The 27,959-nt window shown below is 42.4% G+C and overlaps 1 protein-coding gene and 1 pseudogene across 3 annotated transcripts, besides 2 other annotated features; both read left to right on the top strand.

Annotated features, from left to right (window-relative positions):
• Positions 10–289: a silencer, noted in NCBI's record as "silent region_10991". NCBI's record gives its function as "represses an Ori minimal core promoter by ATAC-STARR-seq in GM12878 lymphoblastoid cells {active_cell/tissue: GM12878}" and the evidence as "EXISTENCE:reporter gene assay evidence [ECO:0000049][PMID:35858748]".
• On the top strand, positions 245–27,092 carry ZNF616 (zinc finger protein 616). Of its 3 annotated transcripts, none has more exons than NR_135823.1 (5): positions 245–451; positions 9,595–9,682; positions 16,134–16,260; positions 17,726–17,823; positions 23,159–27,092. NR_135823.1 is itself a non-coding variant. In XM_047439613.1 (5 exons), exons 3-5 carry the CDS (start codon positions 9,671–9,673, stop codon positions 25,363–25,365), a joined length of 2,346 nt encoding a protein of 781 aa, XP_047295569.1. In that variant the 5' UTR covers positions 245–451; positions 557–728; positions 9,595–9,670; the 3' UTR covers positions 25,366–27,092. The 3 variants fall into 3 exon arrangements, 2 of the variants coding, with proteins under 2 accessions (XP_047295569.1, NP_848618.2); XM_047439613.1 differs by lacking the exon at positions 17,726–17,823 and adding an exon at positions 557–728; NM_178523.5 differs by lacking the exon at positions 17,726–17,823.
• Positions 410–649: an enhancer, noted in NCBI's record as "active region_15036". NCBI's record gives its function as "activates an Ori minimal core promoter by ATAC-STARR-seq in GM12878 lymphoblastoid cells {active_cell/tissue: GM12878}" and the evidence as "EXISTENCE:reporter gene assay evidence [ECO:0000049][PMID:35858748]".
• On the top strand, positions 5,843–5,930 carry LOC124904799 (uncharacterized; annotated as a pseudogene).
• Positions 27,093–27,959: the final 867 nt, after the last annotated feature.

Genomic DNA, 27,959 nt, shown 5'->3' with positions numbered 1-27,959 from the left:
AACCAGAGTAAATAACAGGCTCTATTTCGGCCCCGCTTACCCCATGAAACCCCGCCCCATCCTCCGCCGCGGCTCCGTCCCGCCCCACCTAGCCACGCCCACTGCCGCTCCGGCCCGGCTCCACCCTCTCAGGGTCCCTCCCCGAGTCAGGCCCCTCTTTCCGACCCGCCCCTTGCTGGTCGCGGCTCGCCCAGGCCCCGCCCCCTGGCCTCCCAGTTTTTTCTCTCCGCTAGCAGTTTCCGTCACTCCCGGAAGCAGATTGCGCCAGGGAAAGGCCTTATCGCTGTGTGTGTGTTTCAGTCTACGTGGATTAAACATTACTTCGCTCCGTCTGCCTGGATTAAACGTGCACTTTGCAGTCCTCACTTCTCCGTACCAGTGATCTGGGGATCGCTACGGACCTTAAAATACCCATAGCCCCTTCGCCCCTGCAACAGGCACTTCTCCCCACGTAAGTCCGAGAATTGCTTCCCTGTCGGTTTAAAATCTCTCTCAGGCTGTTCCTTGCCCCCTGCCTTTCTGCCATGTAGATAACCATGTCGATAACCCCATTCAGGTCGTGTTCCTGCTTAAAACTCTCATTGACCCCTGCTTCGGCCCCGGGCGAAGTCAAGTCCTCCCTCGCGAGGTGGATTCCCACCAGTCGAGACCCCCGAGCTTCGCCCTTGTCGACGCCTGGAGGGGAGCGCCCGCTGCCCAGCTCCTGAAGGAGCCGCTTCTTCTCCCAGGTCCTGGGATTCTGCAGACCCTCCCTGTCCTGAGACACCGTCCCCCGCGCCACCTAGTGTCCTCCGCGCGCCACCTAGTGTCCTCCTCACGCCGGGTCCTTCCCCTCCCCAGGCTGCCCCTTCACAGCCACTGCTTTTCCTGACTCCGCGTTGCAGGAGGTCACCCGAGTCTGTCTTGTGACACCCACTGTCGTTCCTTCCCAAATTTTTACTCCACTGGAAAATGTGCTCTTCCGGGAGGTGGGCATCGTATTCCTCCCCTTTCCTCCTGAATGTGTGGGTGAGAGGGATCAGGAGAGGAAAAGAGGGGGAGCGACGGGACAGAAAGAAAAACTGGGGAGAAAAGAATGAGTACACGGCAAAATGGATGATAATTTAGGTACTGGCAAAGAGAGCAAGAGTGCAAGAGGACGCATGGAGAAAGTAGCACGGGGAGAAAAGCACATAAAGAAATTAGGGAAAAGGGAGAGCTTCAGGGAGCTGAAGGGCAGCAAAATAGAGAGGGGCGGCAAAGGAGGAGGCACTGCAGTCAGACGCGGGGGGCGGAAAAGGTAAGAGTCGGAGCCGCGGCTGACAGAGCCACGTGGTGCTGGGACTGAAGGAGAGGGGAGTGGGTAACAAAGGAGAGTAGAGGGAGAACCACAGCAAGGAGGAAGCCTAGGAAGTTGGGGGTGCTAGAGAGTGGGAACAAAGGAGATGTAACAGGGAAAAGGGAATTTAACAGGGAAGAGGGATTTTAACAGGGAGAGCAGACAGGGAGCTCAGATGGGGGAAAAGAGGCAGGAATACGTGGCGGCTGGGGACAATGGGAAAGTTTGGGGAGAAAGAGCAACAAGAGGTGAAATAAATTTCGAAGCATTGGGCAGAATAGACATAAAAGAGGGAATAAAGAAAGGGGAGAAAAACAGCAAAGGGAAAAAAGACGTGCAGAATGAGAGCGGGAAACACATAGTAGTGAAGAGAGTGGGCGAGGACCCCACCCAGATGAGCTGTGAGTTGATTGGATATGGATGGTGGTTTTAATGTATTGATTTGTGACTTTATACTCTAATTTAAAATTTGTTTCTTTAAATTGTACTCATGAGGATGAAAATTACCACTCTTTTCTACAAGGCTTGTGCATTTTGTATTTGTTTATATCAAAAGATATTTGGAATCCCTATTTAGCCACAGGGCAGTGACTTGATTCAGTCATTTTGTAACTCTTCTTTCCAGGGAGGGAGTAGAGGATGGAGGAGGAGAGAAATAGGCAAGAAATGACTGACTGTCACTACAAGATGTATCTTTGGTTTTTTGTTTGTTTTTTCTCTTTTTGAGACAGGGTCTCTGTCGCCCAGGCTGGAGTGCGGTAAAATTATATCGGCTCACTGCAGCCTCTCAGCTGCACTCCATCCTCCTCAGCCCCTGAAGGTGCTGGGATTACATGTGTGAACCACCTCTACAGGCCTACAATGTATGTCTTTGAAGGAGAGTTGAGAGTGTTGGTTTTTTGTTTTGTTAATGGATTTACTTTTTTCCTTGTAGTTGCTTTACAGTTAATTCATTGTTATTTTGGAAGCTTGATTTAAATTTTAGTTTATTCAGTTTCTTCTATAATTACTAACTTCTGAAATAAGATTTGATGTCATCCTGTAATCAGCTGATGTCATTAATTTCTCAATATTGCCTTTTTTTAACTTTTACCCCATAATTTATTAGATTTTTCAAAAACTTTCCAAACTGTTAAAGCGTCCAGTGCGGTAAACTCACCACGAAGTACATTAGATTCCTCAGAACTTCTTCATTTTATAACTGAGAATTTGTACCCTTTGACCAACATTTCTCCACTTTCCCCACCCAGCATCCTGTGGTAACAACTGTTCCGCCTTATTACTATGAATTGGACTTTTTTAGATTCTACTTGTGAGAACATACAGTAGTTGTCTTTGTGTGTCAGTCTTATATCGCCCAGCATAATGTCCTCCAGATTCATCCATGTTGTTGGAAATAGCAGGATTTTATTTATTTTTATTTTTATTTTTTATTTTTGAGACAGAGTCTCGCTCGCTCTGTCGCCCAGGCTAGAGTGCAGTGGTGTGATCTCGGCTCACTGCAAGCTCCGCCTCCCGGGTTCACACCATTCTCCTGCCTCAGCCTCTTGAGTAGCTGGGACTATAGGCACCCGCCACCACGCCCGGCTAATTTTTTGTATTTTTTTTTTAGTACAGACGGGGTTTCACTGTGTTAGCCAGGATGGTCTCAATCTCCTGACCTCATGATCCACCCGCCTCGGCCTCCCAAAGTGCTGGGATTACAGGCGTGAGCCACTGTGCCCGGCAGGATTTTCTTTTTTATGGTTGAATAATATTCCATTATATAAATATACACACACACACTCTGTATATATATATATATATATATACACATACATAAATATATATACACACACATTTTCTTTACATATTCATTCCTGGATGGGCACTTTGGTTGTTTCTATATCTTGGCCGTTGTGAATAATACTGCAGTGATCATGAGGGGGCAGAAGTTCCTAAGTTTTTTGTTTTTTGTTTTTTTAAGTAGAGACATGGTCCCGCTGTTTTGTCCAAGCTGGTCTCTAACTCCTGGTCTCAAGCGATCTTCCCATCTCAGCTTCTCAGAGTGCTGGGATTATAGGCATGAACTACCACACCTGGCCTAGATGTCTCTTAAACATACTGATTGGATTGCCTTTGGATTTATACCCAGAAATGAGATTGCTGGATTGCATTGTTGTTCTATTTTGAATATTTTGAAGAACATCCATAGTGTTTTTCATAATGGCTGTACTGATGTGCACTCCCAGCAGCAGTGTACAAGGGCTCATTTTTCTCCATATCATTGCTAACACCTCTCTTGCCTATTTGATAATAGCCTTCCTAAGAGGTATGAGGTGACAGCTTATGGTGGTTTTGATTTGTATATCCCTGATGATTAGCGATCTTGAGTACCTTTTCATATACCTGTTGGTCATTTGTATGTTTTTTTTTGAGACAGAGTCTCACTCTTGTTGCCCAGGCTGGAGTGCAATGGCGTGATCTCAGCTCACTGCGACCTCATCCTCCGAAGCACCTGAGATTACAGGCACCTGCCACTATGCCTGGCTAATTTTTGTATTTTAGTAGAGACGGGGGTTTCACCATGTTGGTCAGGCTGGTCTTGAACTCCTGACCACAGGTGATCTGCCCGCCTCGGCTTCCCAAAGTGCTAGGATTACAAGCGTGAGCCACCGTGCCTGGCATTTGTATGTCTTATTTGCAAAATGTTCAGGTCCTTTGCCCCCTGTCCCCCCCCCGCTTTTTTTTTTTTTGAGACAAAGTCTTACTCTGCTGCCTAGACTGGAGTGCAGGGGCGCCATCTCGGCTCACTACAACATCTGCCTCCTGGGTTCTAGCGAGTCTCATGCCTCAGCCTCACAAGTAGCTGAGATTACAGGCATGTCCCACCATGCCCAGCTAATTTTTTGTGTTTTTAGTAGAGATGGGGTTTCACTGTGTTGGCCAGGCTGATCTTGAACTCCTGGCCTCAAGAGATCTGCCTGCCTCGGCCTCTCAACATGCTAGGATTACAGGCATGAGCCACTGTGCCCGGCCCAACATCAAAGAACTTTAAAAGGCATTCCCTTCCTGACTTAAGGAACAACTTCTCATTGTCCAGGCCTTCTTGTTGTACAGCCAACAAAATACTGCAAATCTCCAAAATATTCTTCAGGATGTTTATTGAGGAAAATTTTATTGAAAGGAGCCACACAATCCAAAGCTGTATTGTTCAAGGGTCAGCTGAATTGAGGAGCAAGTCCTAAGCTGAGCCCACGGGGAGAGTGGGCAGCTGGAGTGGTGGTGCATTGGTCCTGAGGGCATGGAACCCAGAGCTGCAGCACAGCAGGCACTCTCCATAGTGACTTCTGTGGGGTCCATCACTTTGGGGGCTACATTTGTTATTTTGGAGTATTTTGGGCGGCAAGTTAAGATGGTTATAGATGCATTTTGGACTATCTAAATGTCAATATGGAGAGTTTCCTTGGAAGATGTTGGGTCTCACTGGGGTATGTGCATCATTGGAGACATCTGTTTTAGTAGATGGTGGTGCCAGTGTTCAAGGGTGGGGTCATTATGAATGGAATCGAGTGTCTTGGGTCATTGAGTCCTCAGGTATCTTTGTGTGTATTAGGTCAGCAGGAGTTTATGAGTTGTTGGGGCATGTGGGATTTCGTAGCACGATATGGGGAGCACTATGGAGTATCTGGGAAGGGTGTGGACCCCAAGGAAGTTTGTAAACCTGTCTCAGTTTAGGAGGGGAACGTTAGGGCCTCAAACTCTAGTGACAAAAGGCTTTCGTTAGGGAGGGTTTTCTGTGGTGGGTCTATGGCAGGATGGTGGCTTAGGGAAGATTTTTCAAAGAATCAGAGAATATGATATCACAACGACCTGCAGCACAAAGATTTCAACTGGGACTGTCCTCGGAAGATACAGCTGTTACTTTCTCGCTGCCAGGACAGTGGTGATTACTTTCCCCCCACCTCTGTCTGCTGCAACAATCACAGGGAGCTACGAGGCAAAATGCTTTAAACTCAGTGTGGAACAGGGATATTTTCTCCAGGCAAGAGGGTCCACTAGGTGCTGGGGAGGCAGTTTGGGGAGAGGATGGGTAATGCTCTTTGGAGAATGACAGGCCTAGTAATTGCAGGGTGTAAAGGAAAAAACAAATTTTTTCCTTTCTACTCTCACACTTAACACAGAACTCTTCTGTGGCCAGTGTTGGGGAGTTTTCTCCTACACACTAAAAAATTCTCCAGCAGACAACAGCTAGATTGCCTTAGAATTCAATTTAATTCTGGCACTGTCTACCTGGAGTTAGAGTCATCTCCCACAGGTTGCCCACAGGTAAAGGGCTCAGTCTCACAAGACCTCCCCGGCTCACTTCAGCTACCATTTCGAAAGTAGTAGGTTGTCACCTATACTTCTGACCTACTGACTCCAAATTGGCATTCCTACTACCCCAGCCAAAGGTTTGATTAATTTGCTAGGATGGCTCACCGAACTTAGAGAAACACATTTACCAGTTTCTTATTGTTGAAGGACAAAATCACAACAAATTCGATCCTTTTGTAGTTAATAAATGTGATGATTGGGTTTTCACACTCATGTGAGATGTGCTTCCCTCAAACCTTGTTACGATGTCGTGATAAGGAGGGAAATTATTACAAATTCATTTTTTAACTCCTGTTCTTGTTTTCTTTTTTGGAATTTTCTTTTTTCCTAAACGTGACTTATTTCAAGGGTCAGTTTGCTAATGTGGCGTTTAGCATGAGAGACTTCATTCTGGCTTGGTCTGGTAGTGCGGGAGGCTCGTACAAAACAACGGCCTTTCCATAAAAATGAACAAAATAATGCGCTTGGCCAGGACATGGGTGGAGCTGGAGGCGATTATCCTTGGCAAACTAACACAGGGACAGAAAACCAAATACTGCGTATTCTCACTCATAAGTGGGAGGTAAATGATGAGAAAACATGGATACGTAGAGGGCAACAACACACACTGGGGCCTACCTCAGGGTGGAGGGTGGGAGGAGGGAGAGGATCAGGAAAAATAACTAATAGACATTAGGCTTAATACCCGGGTGATGGGGCCAGACGTGGTGGCTCACACCTGTAATCCTAGCACTTTGAGAGGCCGAGGCGGGCGGATCACCTGAGGTCTGGAGTTCGCAACCAGCCTGACCAATACAGTGAAACCCCGGCTCTTCTAAAAATACAAAATGAGCCAGGTGTGGTGGCACATGCCTGTAGTCCCAGCAGGAGGCTGAGGCAGGAGAATTGCTTGAACCCGGGAGGCGGAGGTTGCAGTGAGCCGAGATCGTGCCATTGCACTCCAGCCTAGGCGACAGAGCGAGACTCTGTCTCACACACACACACAAAAACCCAGGTGATGAAATAATGTATACAACAAACCCCCATGACCCGTTTACCTGTGAACCAGGCTGCACCTCCTGCACGTGTACCCCTGAACTTAAAATATAAGTTAAAAAGAGAAAAAAAATTGGCCTATTATAAAGTGTAACAACTGCAACGTCTATTTTTACCTCTAGGGAATTATTTTAAACATTGTTTACTGATGGTGGTATTGCCCATTAAATGCATGCACACACACAGACCCTAAAGCTTATCGTTTCCTTCCACTCTGCCCTAATTGAAACAAAACATACTACTAACTACATTTCTGCCCGTATGAGTACCCCTCTTCTGTGCTGAAATCTTATTTATACTCTCCGTCTTCACTTCTTGCCTCCCATTCCCTCTTGAATGCATCCAGTCAAACTTGCATATCCACCATTCCACTGATAACTTTATTTTTCAGAGTCACCAGTGACCTCCCCATTTCTAAATCCAATGTATTTCTTTTCCTGCTTTAGTCTTTCTTTTCCTGTCAGGAGCTTTCTGTTTAATTTTCTTGTCACCTCCCTGACCATTTTCCTCTGCTGCTGTGTCCGGACTTCGAATGTTTCTCAATGTGGGAAAGACTCATGGCTTAGTCCTTGAACCTCTTCTTATCTCTGTCCACACCTACTGTCTTTCCTCATCATCTCATCTCATGGCTTTAAACCCCACTGTATTAGTCCATTCTGGAATTGCTACAACAAAATTCCAGAGACCGAGTAATTTATAAAGAAAACAGGTTTAATTGGCTCACAGTTCTGCAGGCTGCACAGGAAGCATGGCAACATCTGCTTCTGGGGAGCCTGTAGGAAGATTCCAAACATGGTAGCAGGCGAAGTAGGAACAGGCGTCTCACGTGGCGGGAGCAGGAGCAAGAGAGAGTGAGGGGGGAGGCGCTACACACTTCTAAACAACCAGATGTCGTGAGAACTCACTGTGATAAAGAACAGCACCAAGGGGTGGTGCGAAACCATTCATCACAAATCCACCCCCATGATCCATCCACCTCCCACCAGGCCCCACCAGTAACGGTGGGGATTACAATTCAGTGTGAGATTTGGGCCAGGGACACAGAGCTGATCCATATCACCCACCTACTCACCTACACGTCTCCATGTCCCCTGCAGGCCTGTCCCCTGAACTCTAGAATTCTGTGTCCTGTTGTCTCCTCTGTTGTCTGTTCAGCCGTCTAAGAGACGTCTCCACCTTTATGTGTCTAAAGTGACTTCCTAAACTCCCTAAGTACATTCCCCTGCGCTCCTGCACATCTCAGATGACGGTGGCCCTATACTTCCTGGCTCTAGCTTTACATGTCAGGATATATTTGAAATAGAGAAGATATGACATTATATAGAAGGGTTTTAATTCAAATGATAAAGAAAAGTTACATTTACCTAAAATGGTAGGGAAATGCATAGTTTCTAAAAGTGCTGTGAGCTGTGGGAGAAAAATGTTTGAAGACCTCGTCCCTACCTGATCTGCTGCCTCGGGACCTCTCTGACCTCATTTCCTACCTGTGTCCTCCTCACTCCCTCTGCTCCAGCCACACAGGCCTCTTTCCTATTCCTGGAGCCGAGGGTGTCTACCTGGGCTGTCCCTGTGCCTAGAACTCTCTGGCCCCTCAGTTGCAGGTAATCTGGCAAGATTTCCCCCATCCCGAGCTGCAAAGGTGCCCTCTCCCACCAGCATCACATGAGACTTCCCACTCATTTAAACAAAACTTACTACTATGTTGTTTTTACATTTTGAGGATCTGGGGAAAATGGCAACCCAAAGAAAAGTAACTTTGAAACAACCAACATGCTTTTAGTTTCCTGATTTTGCTCCATTCAGCCCCTTTCAGCTTATGAAGCCAACCTCCTCCCCTTAGCTCACAGAACACTCCTTTCATTTTAAGAATGAGGTGTTGTCTGATTCTAGGATTGCAAATAAAAGCCAATAAAGGCAGGTCCATATTTTCTGCTCTGTGTGTTTCTTTCTGGCCCTTTGCCTTCCACTTTCTACAGACTGGTGACAGCAAGGCCCCAAGGGGAGGTCAGAGCTGGGAGACTGGGGCTGTGGTAGTCTTGCCCCCTTTGAGACTACTCAACCCTCGCTTCACACTAGAGTGCCAAGGCATTTGTAACACATGGTTCATTCCCCCTTATAGAGATTCTCCTTCCAGTAGTTAGGGTGGGGCCCAGCCTCCGTAATGTTTTAGGTACCCAAGTTGATTTTTTTTTTTTTTTTTTTTTTTTTTGGTGACAGAGTCTCTGTCGCCCAGGCTGGAGTGCAGTGGCTTGATCTTGGCTCACTGCAACCTCCGCCTCCCAGGTTCAAGTGATTCTCCTGCCTCAGCCTCCCAAGTAACTGGGATTTAAGGGGTGTGCCACCATGCCTGGCTAATTTTTGTGTTTTTGGTAGAGAGGGTGTTTCACCATGTTGGCCAGGCTGGTCTCGAATTCCTGACCTCAGGTATCCACCCGCCTCGACCTCCCAAAGTGCTGGGATTACAGGCATGAGCCACCGCTCCCAGCCCCAAGTTGATTCTCATTTGTATCCAGCATTGAGCTTCCAGCCTCTGTGTCCCCCATTTCCGAGGGCAGAGCTCAGCCTGTGACCCACAGAGGTGACGGGGGGCTGTGCGCTGCATGGGGTTTGATCAGGGATAGGTCCGTGCCCTGAATGGGAGCTCAGTCCAGCCTAGCTACACACTGCTGCAGCCTGTGTGTGGGCTTCTCCCAGAGGGGAGCTAATGCTGAAGAAAACGGTGAAAGATTCACTTGGTCTTTGTGTAGGAATTTATTATTCTTGCATCCCCCCTGGTGCAGTGGGCTGTCTCTCCACAGGCTGAGTTCTTCCCTGTGTGCATGGTTGTGACACAGAAAGGAATGTGTTGTTTCCAAGCATTAAACAACAGATTTTTTAACTTTCAGGTTTGATGTGTGAATAATTACATTGACTGAGAAAGAAACCCAGAAGAGGAAGAAGAGGAAGGAAAAGGAGTCAGTGATGGCTACTCAGGTAGAGTGATACTTTACTCAAGTGAAGTGATATTCTTGGTGGGTCATTCTGTCTCCTTCCTTTGTGAAGTACAGGGCGTCGGAGTTGCAAATCTTCTCTGAGTCTGAAGTGTCCTTCCTGACACATTTGCTCATGCTCATCCATGCTTTTCCTCAGTTCCTCTCATCTTATTTAGATTCCATCTCACCATGATCCAGTGACATGAACTTGGGAAGAGGCTGCACTGGGCATGGTCCTGGGAAGGGCTCACACCCAGACATGGATGGAGATGGGGTGAGGGTCCCGTGGTATCAGAGCTGTTGGGCAGCAGGGATTGTTTAGGGGCCACATCTGGATGCACTGTCAGCTTTCTGTAGACCAGGAATAGAGAAGCTGCATGTGGAAGTCACATATTAATGTGCATAAATACCTAGTAAATTATCGAAAGGGGCCAGGCGCCGTGTCTCATGCCTGTAATCTCAGCACTTTAGGAGGCTGAGGTGGGCGGATCACTTGAGCTCAGGAGTTTGAGCCAACATGGTGAAACCTCGTCTTTACTGAAAATACAAAAATTAGCCAGTCATGGTGGCAGGGGCCTGTAATCCCAGCTACTCAGGAGGCTGAGGCGGGAGAATAGCTTGAACCCGGAGGTGGAGGTTGCAGTGAGCCAAGATGGTGCCACTGCACCCCAGCCTGGGTGACAGAGCAAGACTTCATCCTCAAAAAAAAAAAAAATATGGAAAAGGAGGCGTGTAAGGGGAGATCTTTCTGCCTGATTTTATACTACATTTGAAGCTGTATGAATGAGTCACTATTTCTAACTGCCTTAATGACAGGGAATTGAATGGAAAACTAGATACAGACATTAGAGCGTGTTTTATTCCATCATTGATTTAAAAATATGAAATCAACCTGAATGTCAGATTCTAGCCATGGTCAGAATATCCATCTCACAGAGACTGCGGTGTTCCTGCGGGGACTCTTACCAGCAGTTGTTTTAAGTTTTAAGGTTATAATTTTGCTCAGATGTAAGAGCTGAACATTTGTTATCAGAGAAGATGGAGCCAAATTCTCTCACTGCACCAATTATTATTAAATATTATATTTATTTTAAACATCACATGATGTATATATTTGTTTTTTTGGTAAAATTTCAAGCAGAGATGCAGTTTAGGCATTAAGAAGTTAATACAACACGAGGATGATAGGAAATAATTTTGTTTTGTTTTTTGCTTTTTGTTTTGTACGGAGTCTCGCTCTTGTCACCCAGGCCGGACTACAATGGCGTGATCTCGACTCACTGCAACCTCTGTCTCCCGGGTTCAACCGATTTTCTCTTGCCTCAGCCTCCCAATAGCTGGGATTACAGGCGTGCACCACCACGCCTGGCTCATTTTTGTATTTTTAGTGGAGATGGTGGGGGGTTTCATCATGTTGGCCAGGCTGGTCTCGAACTCCTGATCTCAGATGATCCGCCTGCCTCAGCCTCCCAAAGTGCTGGGATTACAGTGTGAACCACCACACCCAGCCTGTAAATAATGTTTTATTATATATGAAATTCATGCTAAATGAGATTTTAGCTGTTCTGGCCAAAACAGAGGGAAAAAAAAAAAAAGTAACTGTGAGATGATGGGTGTGTTAATTTGTTAAACTCTAATGACTTTTTTTTTTACTATCCATACCATAATACCATGTTGTATACCTTAAATATACACAATGTAATTTATCAGCAAACAAAAATGGGCATCAAGGAAACATTTTAGCTTTTTTTTTTTTTTTTGAGACGGAGTTTCGTCTTGTTGCCCAGGCTGGAGTGCAATGGCGCAATCTTGGCTCACTGCAGCCTCCGCCTCCCAGGTTCAAGCGATTCTTCTGCCTAAGCCTCTTGAGTAGCTGGGACCACAGGCATGCACCACCGTGCCTGGCTAATTTTGTATTTTTAGTAGAGACAGAGTTTCTCTATGTTGGTCAGGCTGGTCTCAAACTTCCGGCCTCAGGTGATCCACCCGCTTTGGCCTCCCAAAATGCTGGGATTACAGGCATGAGCCACCGTGCCCAGCTTTAGTTTTACACAGAAAGAAATTTATAACCTAAGAAAAGGACATCAAGGCATATATATTTTAAAAATTTAACTACAGAATATGAAATGGCTCCTAGAATGCAGTAAAGGAAAACTGAGCAAAGAATGAAAATTATTTTGGTTTGATTTCCACAAAATAATGAAACCTCCTCACAGTCCAAGGAATTGGAAAATGGAAATACGAAGGGTTTTCATTTTCCCCATAGCCTCAAAATGTAAACAGAACATAGTAGTAAGTTTTTTTTTTTTTTTTTTATTGGGTGGGAAATCCACCCAATATGTGTCGTTGGTGTATGAGGACACCATTGCACCTTAGGGTAGTGGGAAATCTTGCCAGATCCAGGAAAATAGGAAATGCACCATCCTAAAGAGGCAATCACTCTTTCAGTTACCCAACCTGGAGGAACCCGGGTTTCTTTTCCCTGTCACTTTCTCCATCATCCCTCATGTTTCCGTGGGGAGCTACAGTTGTAAGTTCTGTGGCAAGAGTCAGTGAGAGGTGTCAAGATGCATTTACGTGTCATTATGAGATTTTAGAAAACAATTCTTCAGTACATGTTCTGTTGTGAAATTTCATTGTGCCAGTTTTTCAAAGATACATCTTTTTTTGTTAATAAGCAGTAATAGCTTGTTTTGCATCCTCTTTGGAACAATCTCTAAATGAAGACATATGGATCTTTTATAATTTTTCACCATGGCTGCCACAATGCTCTCTTCACCACAGGTGTTTGAGGGTTCCTTCAGGTTGGACAGTTTAAAGAGTGGTTGCTTCTGTTAGGACGCTATACCACAAAAGCAAAAATAAATAACTGATCTTTCTTTGGAAGGCCTGGCTCGCTGTGTGATTATAAAATACTGTGTTTTTTTAAGATCTAATATTTTGTTGCTTACATTTTATTTGCTTGAATCTTTAATTTGAATTTTTCTGTATATCTTGTTGTAGATTATATTTGATTATAAAGTTTTAGATTATAAATAACATAATAGGTTCACAAGTAGATTGGCAAACCCCTCCATTTTCTTTCCAAAATTATTATGGTTCTCCTTTTACACAACACAGCCACATATTATTTAAATTCCACATATTGGCCGGGTGTGGTGGCTCACACCTGTAATCCAGGCACTTTGGGAGGCCAAGGTGGGTGGATCACCTGAGGTCAGGAGTTCAAGACCAGCCTGGCCAACATGGTGAAACCCTGTCTCTACTGAAAATACAAATATTAGCCGGACATGATGGTGCACGTCTTTAATCTTAGCTACCTGGGAGGCCGAGGCAGGAGAATCCCTTGAACTTGGGAGGTGGAGGTTGCAGTGAGCTGAGATCGTGCCACTGCACTCCTGCCTGGGTGACAGTGAGACTCTGTCTTCTAAAAAAAAAAAAAATTCCCACATATTTTGTTTGTGTTTTCATGGCTCTGAATTTTTTCAGTTGCAGGCCTTTATGTCACCATGTCTTCCAAAAAGAATCGAGTTTGTCAGTCTTTGATAATATCTTTATTATGTCTTTCATTAAAGCTTGTTTGCTTATGTAAAGTTCAGTAATGTTAGATATATTCACATTATTTGTTGGACTCCCAGAATGCATATGTTCTTGGTGCTTGATGGTTTTTCATGGGCCCATTAGACTCTCTTCATTTTCTTTATTTTATTTAATTATTTATTATTTATTTTTTGAGATGGAGTCTCGCTCTGTCGCCCAGGCTGGAGTGCAGTGGCATGATCTCGACTCACTGCAACCTCTGCCTCCTGGGTTCGGGCAATTGTCCTGCCTCAGTCTCCCTGAGTAGCTGGGACTACAGGCACGTGCCACCACACCTGGCTAATTTTTGTATTTTTAGTAGAGACGGGGTTTCACCGTGTTGGCCAGGCTGGTCTTAAACTCCTGACCTCAGGTGATCTGCCTACCTTCGCATTTTCTTTATTTTTGGAGACAGAGTCACACTCTATTGCCGAGGCTGGAGTGCAGGGGTGGGATCTCAGCTCACTGCAACCTCTGCCTCCTGTTCAAGCAATTCTCATGCCTCAGCCTCAGATTACAGGCATGTGCCACCATGCCTGGCTAATTTTTGTATTTTTAGTAGAGATGGGGTTTCATAATGTTGGCCAGGCTGGTCTCGAATTCCTGCTCTGAAGTGATCTTCCTGCCTGGCGTTCTGAAAGTCCTGGGATTACAGTTGTGAGCAATCATGCCCGGCCCACATTTCTTTTTAATTCTTCAAAGCCAAGATGTAAATTGCCATTTCTTTCATGTAGGTTTGTACAGATTCAGTTGGTTTCTTTTTGTAGACCGTATTTCCCTGTTTCTTTGTATGTTTTATTGTCTTCTTTTGTGACTTCAGCATTTGAAAAAATCAGCTGCCTGCCCAGATTTGGTGGCTGCTTTGTTCAGGGAGGACATTCCAATCAACTACCCTAGATTCTGGAGACTTCCCATGCTTTTTCTCTGGGCCTTTGCTTGTCATCTCCCTATTGAAGAGGTTTGCTGCTTTCTACTCAGAAGCTCCCCTATTTTCTGTACTATTGTGGATAGACTCTGGTACTGCAGATATCTGTGGTACTAGATCTTCACCCTCATGTCTTTCTGTGTTATTGCAGACACCGGTTTACGTCAGTTATCTTTTTGCTCAGTGGCCCCTAACCTTTCATCCTGTTCCTTTCAGTGCTACCACAGGAGGTCACCACTAAGGCAATTCTCAGCCTAGCCATGGAGGCAGGGACACCTTAGAGAGTGCTTATTAGGGCAAGGTCAAGGGGAGCCCTGGAAGCAGGACCACGCCTGAGACCCCAGAACTGTAGAGTCACCAGTATGTGATCCCAGCTCGGGAAACCACAGCCTGTGAGAAGTTCCATGTGGGTGATCCCAACAAAACTAATGGGGCAGGGATCCCCAGGACACTGGGGACCTAACTCCTACTCCAGGATGTCTAGAAGGTGGGACATAGAGTCAAAGAAGATTATTGTCAAGCCTTAAGATTTAATATGTGTGCCCTATTTGAGTTTCAGACTTAACATGGGAGTGGCTACCTCTTCTTTCCTGTTTCTGCATTTTGGAGTTGAAATATTTAGCCTGTGTCTACGCCACCGTTGGATGTTGGAAGCACTTAAGTCGTTTGATTTCACACGTTCACAGCTGGAGAGCAGTTTGCCTCAGGATGAAACACATTTTTGAGTCTCACCCATATCTGATTTAGATTATAGTTAGATGCAGCTGTAGACTATAGACTTTTGAATTGGTAGTAGAAAAAGTTAAGACTTTGGGGGGCCATTGGGATGGAATGCATTTTATATGTGAGGAGTACATGAATTTTGGTGGGGCAAGATGGAATGCTGTGGTCTGAGTGTTTTTCTCTCCTCCACAATTCATTTGAAACTTAATCTCCAATGCCCAATCTCCAAGTATTATGAGGTTTGGGTTTTAGTAGGTGATTGGATCCTGAGGGGTCTGCCCTTATCAATGGGATATGGTGTTCTGGTCAGTGAGATATCAAAACGCTTATCCTACGGAGTTCACTGCTTTTTGGCCCTTCTGTTCCTTCTGCCACGTGGGGACACAGCATTCCTCCCCTCCAGAAAATGCAACAAGACACCATCTTGGAAGCAGGGATCATCCCTCAGCAGACATCAGTCCTTCTGGCACCTTGATCTTGGATTTCCCAGCCTGCAGAATTATGAGAAATATATTTTTATTGTTCATAAATTACCCAGTCTGTCTTATTTGGTTATAGCAGCACAGACAGACTAGGATATTCTGTAACCATAATGTAACTGTTTGATTGTTTTGATTCAACTCTAATTCTCAGACATCTGGGTTCAGATGCTTGCTCTGCCATTTTCAGGTTGTTGACCTAGGCAAGTTTGTTAGCGTGTCTGTGACACAGTAACATGGAACAAGTCTCTCTCTCATAGGCTATCATGTTGTTATTTGAATTAGAACATGTAAAGCATTTGGAATAATGCCCAGCACGTGGGGAGTGTTCCAAAACTTCAGTCATTGCTGTTGCTCTGGTCATCACAGTTTTTAGTTTCTGACCTTTAAAGCCGCTGTAGACATTGTCATCTCTGAAAACACCACTCATATACTAGCTCACCTAGACACAGTTGATGTATGGAGCATAATATCTAACACTTTTTAAGGGATAACCATGTGTTTTTCTTATTTGTGTATTTCTTGTATTGTCCACAAAAATAGAACTATACACTGATGTAGAGAATATAATAGTCTCCTATTGTATTTTATAACAAACTAAAATTAGGGACCAATAACTTTCTCACAGATGCCATATAGATATGTCAAAACACACACTTCAAAGTGATGTGATAGTTCTCTCCTCATTTTGTGTAAACAGAAGAGCTCTCATATTGCTTCTTTTTGAAATGTGTTTTTCATTTCAGGGGCATTTGACATTCAAGGATGTAGCCATAGAATTCTCTCAGGAGGAGTGGAAATGCCTGGAGCCTGTGCAGAAAGCTTTGTACAAGGATGTGATGTTGGAGAACTATAGGAACCTGGTCTTCCTAGGTGAGTATAATTTCCTTCTAGAAGTTCAGATTCGCCCTTGTGCATTTTTGTATTTCCTCTGTTGTCTTTCTTGGGAACCCCTCCGTTATTTGAGACTGAAGCCTTATTGGTTCAAAAATAAAAAGCTTCACAATGCTGCATCTGGCCTTTCACTGTCACCTTTGTATATATATTCTGCTGCCTTCTTTGTACATCAGTGGTGGTTCCAGAGCTGAAGTTCGCAGAGAACTTTATGGCAGAGTTAAAATATCCAATTCCCTGTTTTCTGTCCATGTGCTTTTTTGTTTGTTTAAAACAGGTTCTTGCTCTGTTGCCCAGGCTGGAGTGCAGTGGTGTGATCACAGCTCACTGCAATCTCTGTCTCCTGGGCTCAAGCAATCCTCCACCCTCAGCCTCCCAAGTAGCTGGAATTATGCGTGCGTGCCACCATGCCCGTGTAGAGACAGGGTTTTACTATGTCACTCAGGCTGCTCTTGAACTCATGGGCTCAAGGAATTCTCTGGTCTTGGCACCCCAGAGTGCTGATATTATAGGCTTGAGCCAGTACGCTTGGCCTATCCCTGACCCTGTGATCCACCCGCCTCAGCCTCCCAAAGTGCTGGGATTACAGGTGTGAGCCACCACGCCCGGCCAAAGCTTATATTTTTTAAGTCCACATAATTTGTTTTAAGTGACCGCTACTTTAATCTGGTGCATTTTCATGTATTGTAAATGAACTTTGTTTTTATTTATTTAATAATCAGTTCCATATTTTTGAGGATACTCAGTTTTCTTTGTTTTATGTTTCTTTTTGAGGTAGTGTTGTATTGGGGAATGTATATCATTTTATATATTTTACAAGATTTCTTTCTTTAGTACAGATGGTATAGCTCAGGAGCAGTTTCTCTAAAACTTACACAAACTCAATAGTGTTGTAATAAGACAGTTTCAGTTATTTCTTTTACTCCCATTTCTCCTGACTTAATTCCTACTATTAAATTTGTTAATGAGACCGGGCACGGTGGCTCACGCCTATAATCCCAGCACTTTGGGAGGCCGAGGCGGGTGGATCACGAGGTCAGGAGATCGAGACCATCCTGGCTAACACGGTGAAAACCCGTCTCTACTAAAAATACAAAAAATTAGCAGGGTGTGGCGGTGGGCGCCTGTAGTCCCAGCTACTCAGGAGGCAGAGGCAGGAGAATGGCATGAACCCGGGAGGCGGAGCTTGCAGTGAGCAGAGATTGCGCCACTGCACTCCAGCCTGGTGACAGAGCGAGACTCCATCTCAAAAAAAAAAAAAAAATTGTTAATGGAATTGATTACAGTTCTTCTCATTGGAAATTTTTTAATACCTTGAATATATTTTTTTAATATAGTTACTATCTTCATTGTAGAAATACCATGAAAGAGATTGGTCATACTTTGTTTTTGTTTGTTTGTTTTGTTCTGTTTTTTGAGACGGATTTTCATTCTTGTTGCCCAGGCTGGAGAATAATGGCGCGATCTCACCTCACTGCAACCTCCGTCTCCCAGGTTCAAGCGATTCTCCTGCCTCAGCCTCCTGAGTAGCTGGGATTACAGGCATGTGCCACCACACCTGGCTAATTTTGTATTTTTAGTAGAGATGGGGTTTCTCCATATTGGTCAGGCTGATCTTGAACTCCCGACCTCAGGTGATCTGCCAGTCTCGGCCTCCCAAAGTGCTGGGATTACAGACGTGAGCCACTGCGCCCGGCCTGGTCATACTTGTTATATCAGACACATTGCTTTTCTGTAGTAAGTTTCAGTTTCCTAAATATAACTTGCTGGATTTTCTTTAAATCACACTTTTTTTTTTTTTTGGAACAAGTGCTATATTATAATAATTATTCTCCTGTCTGCTTTCAAGTCCATCATGTTATACTGAATTATTATTTTCAAATCTTACTTTATTATACATGTAGCCCATTTCTTGCACTTCAAGGACTTCTCAACTGATGTTTATAAAACCTATATATTTTTTCCCGTCATGCTTAGGGAATGAGGAATAAATTTTTTTTAAAAAATTATATTTTATCCAGAAGTGTTTTTCCTAAGTTTTCTTCTAGGATTTTTGTAGCCTGAGGTCTTACATTTAAGTCTATATCCATCTTGAATTAATTTTTGTATATGATGAGAGATAGGGGTCCAGTTTCATTCTTCTATATATGGCTAGCCAGTTTTTCCAGCACCCTTTATTGAATAGAATGTCTTATCTCAATTGTTTTTGTTGACTTTGTCAAAGATCAGTTGGTTGTAGGTATGTGGCTGTGTTTCTGGGTTTCCTATTCCATTCCATTGGAGATCTGTGGCTGTATTTCTGGGTTCCCTATTCTGTTCTATTGGAGATCTTCTATTTTAACAGAAGCATTTATATCTAACAGTTTTCTATCTTAGCACTGTTTTCTGTGCATACATAAGTTTTGGCATGTTCTATTTTCATTTTCCTTTGTTTTGAGATATTTTATCATTTCCCTTGAGATTTCCAATTTGACATATTGGCTGTTTAGGAATATGTTGTTTCCACATATTTTTTGATATTCTAATTTTTTTTCTGCTGTTGATCTCTAGTTTTATTTTATTATGAAGGGATAAGTTACACTTTATGATTTCAGTCTTTAAAATGTGTTAAACGAGGTCAGGAGTTTGAGACCAGCCTGGCCAACATGGCGAAACCGCGTCGCTACTAAAAATACAAAAATTAGCTGGGCGTGGTGGCGTGCGCCTGTAGTCCCAGCTACTCGGGAGGCTGAGTCAGGAGAATCGCTTGAACCTGGGAGGCGGAGGTTGCAGTGAACCAAGATCACGCCACTGCCTTCCAGCTTGGGTAACAGAGCGAGACTCAGCCTCAACAAAAAAGAAGTGTTAAAAAGTTTTACTTTTAAATATTTCTTTTGAAGAATGTTCTGTGTGAAGTTCTGAAAAAATTCTTTCGTGCTGTTTTTGGGAGATGCGTTGTGCATATGTAGGTTAGGTCCAATTTAACGTATAGTTTAGGTTGCCTATTTACTTACTTTTTTTCTGTCTGTCCTATTTATAAAAGTGGTCCGTTGAAGTCTTTTATTATTACTGTGGAACTTTTCTCCCTTTAGTTATGTTTCTCTTGCTTCATATATTAAGGATCTCTAATATTAGGTGCATATATAACTATAATTGGTATATCTTCTAGTGAATTAACCCTTTAATTATTAGATAATGCTCTTCTTTGTCTCTTGTACCAGTTTTGACATAAAGTCTGTTTTGACTGATACCAGTTTAGCCACCTCCGATGTCTTTCTATTACCATTTATAAGGGATATCTTTTTTCACCCTTTCAATTCAGCCTGCGTGTGTCCTTCAAATAAAAATGAATCTTTTGTGGATAGTATGTAGTTGGAGCCTGTTTTTAAAATTCATTCAGCCAGTCTCTATCTTCTGATTGTGGAGTTTAAGCCACTTACACTTAATGTAATTACTGATAGAGAAGGACTCACTCTTGCTGTTTTGCTGAATGTTTCCTATATCTCTTAGATTTTTTTGTTCTTCATATCCGTTACTGCCTTTGTGTTTATTTAGTTGATTCTTTTGTCTTGACATACTTTTATTTCCATTGTGTGTGTCTTCTATACATTCTTTGTGGTTACCATTGCAATTACAGAAAACACTTTAGATTTATAACATCCTGTTTTAAACTGGTAACAGTTTGACTTCAGTCACATAGAAAAATGACTCCTTTACAGGTCTGCTCCCATGTTATGTTTTTGATATCCCAGATTACTTCCATATATACTGTGTCTCCATGAACGTGTATTTAAACCTTGACAACAATTTCCTGCTTTCTTAGTTTTTTCAGATTAATATTTGCCCATTTTGCCAGCGTGTCTTCTTCTGCATCCCAAGTCTCCTTAACATTGTTGTACTATCAATAAGGTTTTATGTTGTCTTTTTGTGTGTGTACAAAATAAATTCATCCATCTCCTCTTCATGGCTGTTATCAAATTTTTTCTTCAGGATTATATTGTAGGAACATTTTTTCGCATATCTCTTGATATGTAGGGTTGTTGAGCATATGCCTGGAAATATAACTCATGGGACATTCAATTTGATAAAATTCATAGCATATATTATAAAGACATAAGTCTGCTTTCTTCCCATATCCTCACACTGCCTCCTTTTTAACTGTTTTCCCTTGTCCTGTGCCCATAGTATAATTCACGTATTTAAATATTGGCCAGTATAATGCTACTTCTAAATTAGTTTCTTTTTTTGTCCAAAGTCAGGATTTTAACTGTTCCTGGTGAAATTATATACCTACAGCTCTGCAAGCACAAACCCTGCTGCCCCATGCACATTACTCCTTGCCCTTTCCTCTTGCCTTTTCTCTTCCCTGGCCTTTCCTAAAATAGTACTTTGTTCCAGACGGAATACCTGGCTACTTACTAGCATATAAGTTTTACACTCCCATTATTGCATAACTCCTTCATCTCCCACACTACTCTCACTCTGTAAGGGATGACCGTACTCATTCACTTGATCACTTCCTTTTTTTCTTTTTTCTTTTTTTTTTTCATATGGAGTCTTGCTTTGTCGCTCAGGCTGGAGTGCAGTGGTGTGATCTCGGCTCACTGTAACCTCCACCTCCCGGGTTCAAGCAATTCCCTGCCTCAGCCTCCCACGTAGCTGGGATTACAGACACCTGCCCCCACACCCAGCTAATTTTTGTATTTTTAGTAGAGGTGGGGTTTCATCATCTTGGCCGGGCTGGTCTTGAACTCCTGACCTTGTGATCCACCTGCCTTGGCCTGATCACTTTCTGAGAACACTGTCTAAATCATTATGTGCAGGGAATGATGACTCAGATACTGTTATTCATGGGGATGGCTGAATAATGCTTTTGGCAACACAGCATGGCTCTTGAAGTATTTCTTTATACACTCTTAGTATTTGGGGTGACCTGTTACCTGCAGTACCTGCTTGGGCAGTTTTTGAAAAAAACATAATGTTTGATCCTGCAAACGTAGGTGCATATCTTACTTTCTTTGTAAATTGGATGTAGATACATGAATCCCGTGGGCATACTAACTGCTTGTGTGTTAAATAGTGGTAATTTACCTCAAGACTTTTTAAACAAGTTAGTGCTGTTAGCTAGTCTAGAATATTGTTTTTTAGTAAAGACTCACAGATTTCTTTGTTAAATAAAGCATATCAACATTGTTTTATGTTTATAATGAGATAGCATATTGGCTTTACCCTAGTCAGCATGGCTACCTATAGTAGATATTGTAGATTGGGTGGTTGAAACAACAGAAATTCCCTTTTCACAGATCTGGGTGGTGAGAAGTCTAACATGTCAGAACCAGCCATTTTGGTTCTTGGCATGGCATGGGCCCTTTTTCCGGTTTACCATGGCTTTCTCTTTCTGTGTCCTGACATGGCAGAGGACCGAATTGCCTCCCAAAGACCACACCTCCAAATACTATCACATTGAGGATTGGGTCCTCAACATAGGAATTTTGGCAGACATTAAGTCTTTATATCAAAGCAGCCTTCATTGTATCTGTAAGTTTTCATTTTGTAGTTTCTTCCAAACAGTGTTTGTTGTCTTTTATCTTAGTTCATATGCTTTTCAAGTAGAAATCTCTTGATGATATATATTTTGTGGCCAGTTAACTAGGTAATTAGAGGCAATGAATAGGACCAGGTGTGGTGACTCATGCCTGTATATAATCCCGGCACTTTGGGAGGCTGCAGCAGGCAGGTTGCTTGACCTCAGGAGTTCGAGATCAGCCTGAGCAACATAGGAAAACTCTGTCTCTACCAAAACTACAAAAAAATTAGGTGGGCGTGGTGGTGAACATCTTTGGTCTCAGCCATTTGAGAGGCTGAGGTGGGAGGATCGCTTGAGTCTTAGGAGTGGAGGTTGCAGTGAGGCAAGATTATGCCACTTTACTCCAGCCTAGGTGACAGAGTGAGACTCTGTCTCAAGAAAAAATGACAATAGATAGGGAGTTGCTCTATTGATTGTTACATAGGTGTAGGCATGAAATCATAGTCAGTATTTTTCCTTCCCCACTTTTTATTCTGTATTATGTTGTGTATTTACCTTTCTCCCATCCAAGTAGTAACCAGATCTGACACTGTTTAGCTTCTGAGATCAGCTGTGTTCCAGGTGGTATGGCCATAGACATATTTATCTTTCTTTTATCTTTAAAAGTCAGTGATCTCAACATATTTTCTAGTTATCATATGCTGTCTCTAGAATATATGTTCTTGCTTATTATAAAGGGAGATTTGTTTAGAATTCCATACTATAAATTTGTGTATTTGCATATGATGCAAACTTGTATATGCAATATACAAATTTATAGTATGGAATTCTAAGTATATTGTATATTGTATTTTACTTACCTGCTGGTTTTATCATGGGTTAATAGAGTGTTTTATTTATTAATTTATATGATGATTATTAATTAGTTTATCTTGTGAATATTTACCATTACACTATATCTTGCTGTGGTTTGGCATTTGTTTGTACACAGTAAATATGAAGTAAATATATATAACTTTTATTCTCTTATGAGAGAGCCACATTTTCTGCCAATCGGTTCGTAATTTGGTGTCATTGGTTGCAAAATACTTGTTTTAGTGCCAATATATGTTTGCACAACATAAGTCTTTTGGTCATAGGATGTTTGAAACTAGGCTTTCCTAAACTTAATTTGAATTACATGTAGTCACCCTTTCTTTACTATAGACTTCTATTCATTTTGTATTTCTAAAAATAAAAGATCATGGTGGAGAACTCTCACACCTGTCTAGTATAAAGATTATGTTTAGTGTAGGTATGTTTCCAATATAAAATGTTTGTTTATCAATAGTAGTAGTTTAAAAAAAAACTCATGTTCATTATATTTTGCAGGTATCTCTCCTAAATGTGTGATCAAGGAATTACCACCAACAGAGAACAGTAATACAGGAGAAAGGTTCCAAACAGTGGCACTGGAAAGACATCAAAGCTATGATATTGAAAATTTATACTTCAGGGAAATACAGAAACATCTACATGACCTTGAATTTCAATGGAAAGATGGTGAAACAAATGATAAAGAAGTGCCAGTGCCCCATGAAAACAATCTTACTGGTAAAAGAGATCAACATAGTCAAGGGGATGTAGAAAACAATCATATTGAAAACCAGCTTACATCAAACTTTGAGTCACGTCTGGCTGAACTGCAGAAAGTTCAAACTGAAGGGAGACTTTATGAATGTAATGAAACGGAGAAGACAGGTAATAATGGTTGTTTAGTTTCTCCACACATTAGGGAAAAAACGTATGTATGTAATGAATGTGGCAAAGCCTTTAAAGCGTCTTCCAGCCTTATTAATCATCAGAGGATACATACTACAGAGAAACCTTACAAATGCAATGAGTGTGGCAAAGCCTTTCATCGGGCCTCACTACTAACTGTACACAAGGTAGTCCATACAAGAGGGAAATCATATCAATGTGATGTATGTGGCAAGATCTTCAGAAAAAATTCATATTTTGTAAGACACCAAAGGAGTCACACTGGACAGAAACCCTACATATGTAATGAATGTGGCAAGTCCTTTAGTAAAAGTTCCCACCTTGCAGTTCATCAGAGAATTCATACCGGTGAAAAACCTTACAAATGTAATCTGTGTGGGAAATCCTTTAGTCAGCGTGTCCATCTTAGACTTCATCAGACAGTTCATACTGGAGAGAGACCCTTCAAATGTAATGAGTGTGGCAAAACCTTTAAACGGAGCTCAAACCTCACTGTACATCAGGTAATCCATGCAGGAAAGAAACCATATAAATGTGATGTATGTGGCAAGGCATTCAGACATAGATCAAATCTTGTATGTCACCGGAGAATCCACAGTGGAGAGAAACAATACAAATGCAATGAATGTGGCAAGGTCTTCAGTAAACGTTCAAGTCTTGCAGTGCATCGACGAATTCACACTGTAGAGAAACCTTGCAAATGCAATGAATGTGGCAAGGTCTTCAGTAAACGTTCAAGTCTTGCAGTGCATCAGAGAATTCATACTGGACAGAAAACTTACAAATGCAATAAATGTGGCAAGGTGTACAGTAAGCATTCACATCTTGCAGTGCATTGGAGAATTCATACCGGCGAGAAAGCTTATAAATGCAATGAATGTGGCAAAGTTTTCAGCATACATTCACGACTTGCAGCTCATCAGAGAATTCATACTGGAGAGAAACCTTACAAATGCAATGAATGTGGCAAGGTCTTCAGTCAACATTCACGTCTTGCAGTGCATCGGAGAATTCATACTGGAGAGAAACCTTACAAATGCAAAGAATGTGGCAAGGTCTTCAGTGACCGTTCAGCTTTTGCAAGGCATCGGAGAATTCATACTGGAGAGAAGCCTTACAAATGCAAAGAATGTGGCAAGGTCTTCAGTCAATGTTCACGTCTTACAGTGCATCGGAGAATTCATAGTGGAGAGAAACCTTACAAATGCAATGAATGCGGCAAGGTCTACAGTCAGTATTCACATCTTGTAGGGCATCGAAGAGTTCATACTGGAGAGAAACCATACAAATGTCATGAATGTGGCAAAGCCTTTAATCAGGGCTCCACACTCAATAGACATCAGAGAATTCATACCGGAGAGAAACCTTACAAATGCAATCAGTGTGGGAATTCCTTTAGTCAGCGTGTCCATCTTAGACTTCATCAGACTGTTCATACTGGAGACAGACCTTACAAATGTAATGAGTGTGGCAAAACCTTTAAACGGAGCTCAAACCTCACTGCACATCAGATAATTCATGCAGGAAAGAAACCATATAAATGTGATGAATGTGGCAAGGTATTCAGGCATAGTTCACATCTTGTAAGTCACCAGAGAATCCACACTGGAGAGAAAAGATACAAATGTATTGAATGTGGCAAAGCCTTTGGGCGGTTGTTTTCCCTCAGCAAACACCAAAGAATTCATTCTGGCAAAAAACCTTATAAATGTAATGAGTGTGGGAAATCTTTTATTTGTCGCTCAGGCCTCACTAAACATCGAATAAGACATACTGGAGAGAGCCTTACAACTAAACTCAATGTGACAAGGCCTTAGACGTTGTCCTAGTTTCTGGAATCACCGAATAATTCCTACTTACTGATATACCTTGTATATTTACCCCTTCTCTTGAAATCCCTGTGGAATTGTAATCTCCAGTATTGGAGGTGGGGCCCATTGGGAGGTGATTGAATCATGGAAGTGGATTTCTCAAACTGAGAAAGATGTAGCGTCATCCCCTTGGTGCTGTCCTGGCAATAGTGACTTCTCTTGAGGTCTGGCTGTTTAGAAGTGCATAGCACTTCCCTGTCGCTTGCCCTCATTCTCACCATGTGAAATACCGACACCCGCTTTGCCTTCCACCATGATTTTAACCTTCCTGAGGCTTCCCTAGAGGGTGATCAGATGCCAGCACCATGTTTTCATTTAAGCCTTCAGAAATATGAGCCAATTAAACTCTTTTCTTTATACATTAGCCAGCCTCAGGTTTTTTTTTGTAGCAATGCAGTTATGACCTAATACATTTACACATGCAGTAAATATACCTAAGTTTTAAGCTAGTATTCACTACTCACTAGGTGTAAGAATTTGTATATATATTCCAGGATGTATACATCCTGGAGAAAAATCACAGAAGTGTAATACGTGTGGCAAGAATTCTACTCAAAAGCCAGAACTTGTAAATCTAGGTAATTAAAAGGGCATAGATGTATGAAATGAAATGAGGGTGGCAAAACCTTTACTAGAGTTCAATCACTACTTGTCATAAGAGAGTTTATACTGAAAGGAAATCATATAAATGTATGTGTCAGAGGCTTTCCCCAGGCATTGGAACTCACTAGGCATCAGAATATACATCTTTGAGAGGAACCACAGAAATGTAATGTGCATGCTAAGGTTTTTACCCGAACATCAAAATGGAAAGAGTATTCATACTAGAGACAACCTTCCAAATAAATGGTTTTAAAAAATGAAATGTTCAAAGACCTGGAATCAACCCAAATGCTTATCAGTGATAGACTGAATAAAGAAAATGTGGTACATATACACCATGGGATACTATGCAGCCATAGAAAGGAATGAGATCATGTCCATTGCAGCGATGTGGATGGAGCTGGAAGCCATTATCCTCAGGAAACTAACACAGGAACAGAAAATCAAACAGCACATGTTCTCACTTAAAAGTGGAAGCTGAACAATGAGAACACATATACCCAGGGAGGGGAGCAACACACACTGGGGCCTGCTGATGGGGGTGGGAAGGGCAGGGAAGTGGAGCATCAGGACAAATAGCTAATGCATTTTTGCCTTAATACCAGGTGATGGGTTGGTAGATGCAGCAAACCACCATGGCACACATTTTCCTATGTAACAAATTTGCAAATTGTGCACATGTACCCAGAACTTAAAGTGAGACAAAACCAATGTCCACGCCTTTGCAGTTTGATTGAACGTATAAAGGAGAAAAATCCTGTAAGTATGCTGAACATGAAAGGACCTGGAAGCAGTAGTGTGTCTTCAGCCTTTACCAAATTATCCCTACTTGAGAGAAAACTTGGAAATGTAATCAATGTGGCACAAATTTCAACCAGTTTTTTAAACAGACTACACATCTTTGAAATCATACTAGGGATAACCAAATCTGCTTCTCCAAGATTGGCCTGGAATATTATTACAGAATAACTACCAGACAACATTTGTTAAAACTCAGGACAGTATGTATTTTAAAGGAGCAAGTGCATGTGTGAAAATGGCTCATTCAGTTTATAAAATATTACATTAAATTTGAGGTTTCTGTTTTTTTTCTTTTGTGACAGTCTTGCTCTGTTCCCCATGCTGTAGTGCAGTGGCACCAGTTCACCTCACTGTAACTTCCACATCCTGGTTTCAAGCAATTTGTGCCTCAGCCTCCCAAGTAGCTGGGATTACAGTCATGCCACCATGTCCAGATAATTTTTATATTTTTTTGTAGAGATGGTGTTTTACCATGTTTGCCAGGCTGATCTCAAGCTCCTGGCCTCAAGTGATTTGCCACCTTGGCCTCACACGTTGCTGAGATTACAGGCATGAGCCACCACACCTGGCCAATGGGGCGTTTCTTAAAATAGCTACTAGACTATGACGTTTATCCTAAGGTTTGAAGTCTATCATCTTCCTTACATATCCTTCATTGTGGTATCTGGGAATGAATCAACAAGATGAGAGAGCCTCCTTCATTCAGTGTGGCTCCTTCATTTCCATGCTTCCTGAAGATTAAGGTCACTGAATTTTAAAATTCAATATTCTGTGAGTTACACACCATGGAGTAACTGGGAGAATAATGTAAGTTTATGATGTAAGTTGTGCTTGTGTTCCAGGTGTCCATGAACACGTAGAGTGCCACTTTGGGTTGTAGAAAATAATTGCACAACCAACTGACTGAAATACCAGTGAGGACATTGATGGAATATTAAGGGTATTCATGAGAGGCAAGTGATAGGTTACTAGGGATGGATTGTGTGGGAGAAATAATGCAGAGGAAATGATGATCATCTCCATTGAATGACAGCTGTTATATAGCAAAGATAAATGTAAAATTAGTCTTATTCTTGGAAGTGGAAGACAGCAGTTATCAGAGAGGAGAATTTAATCAAAAGAATCAGAATAGCATG

This window comes from Homo sapiens, chromosome 19 (assembly GCF_000001405.40).
Source record: "Homo sapiens chromosome 19, GRCh38.p14 Primary Assembly".
Taxonomy (NCBI): domain Eukaryota; kingdom Metazoa; phylum Chordata; class Mammalia; order Primates; family Hominidae; genus Homo; species Homo sapiens.
This window is presented reverse-complemented; position numbering and strand designations above follow the sequence as displayed.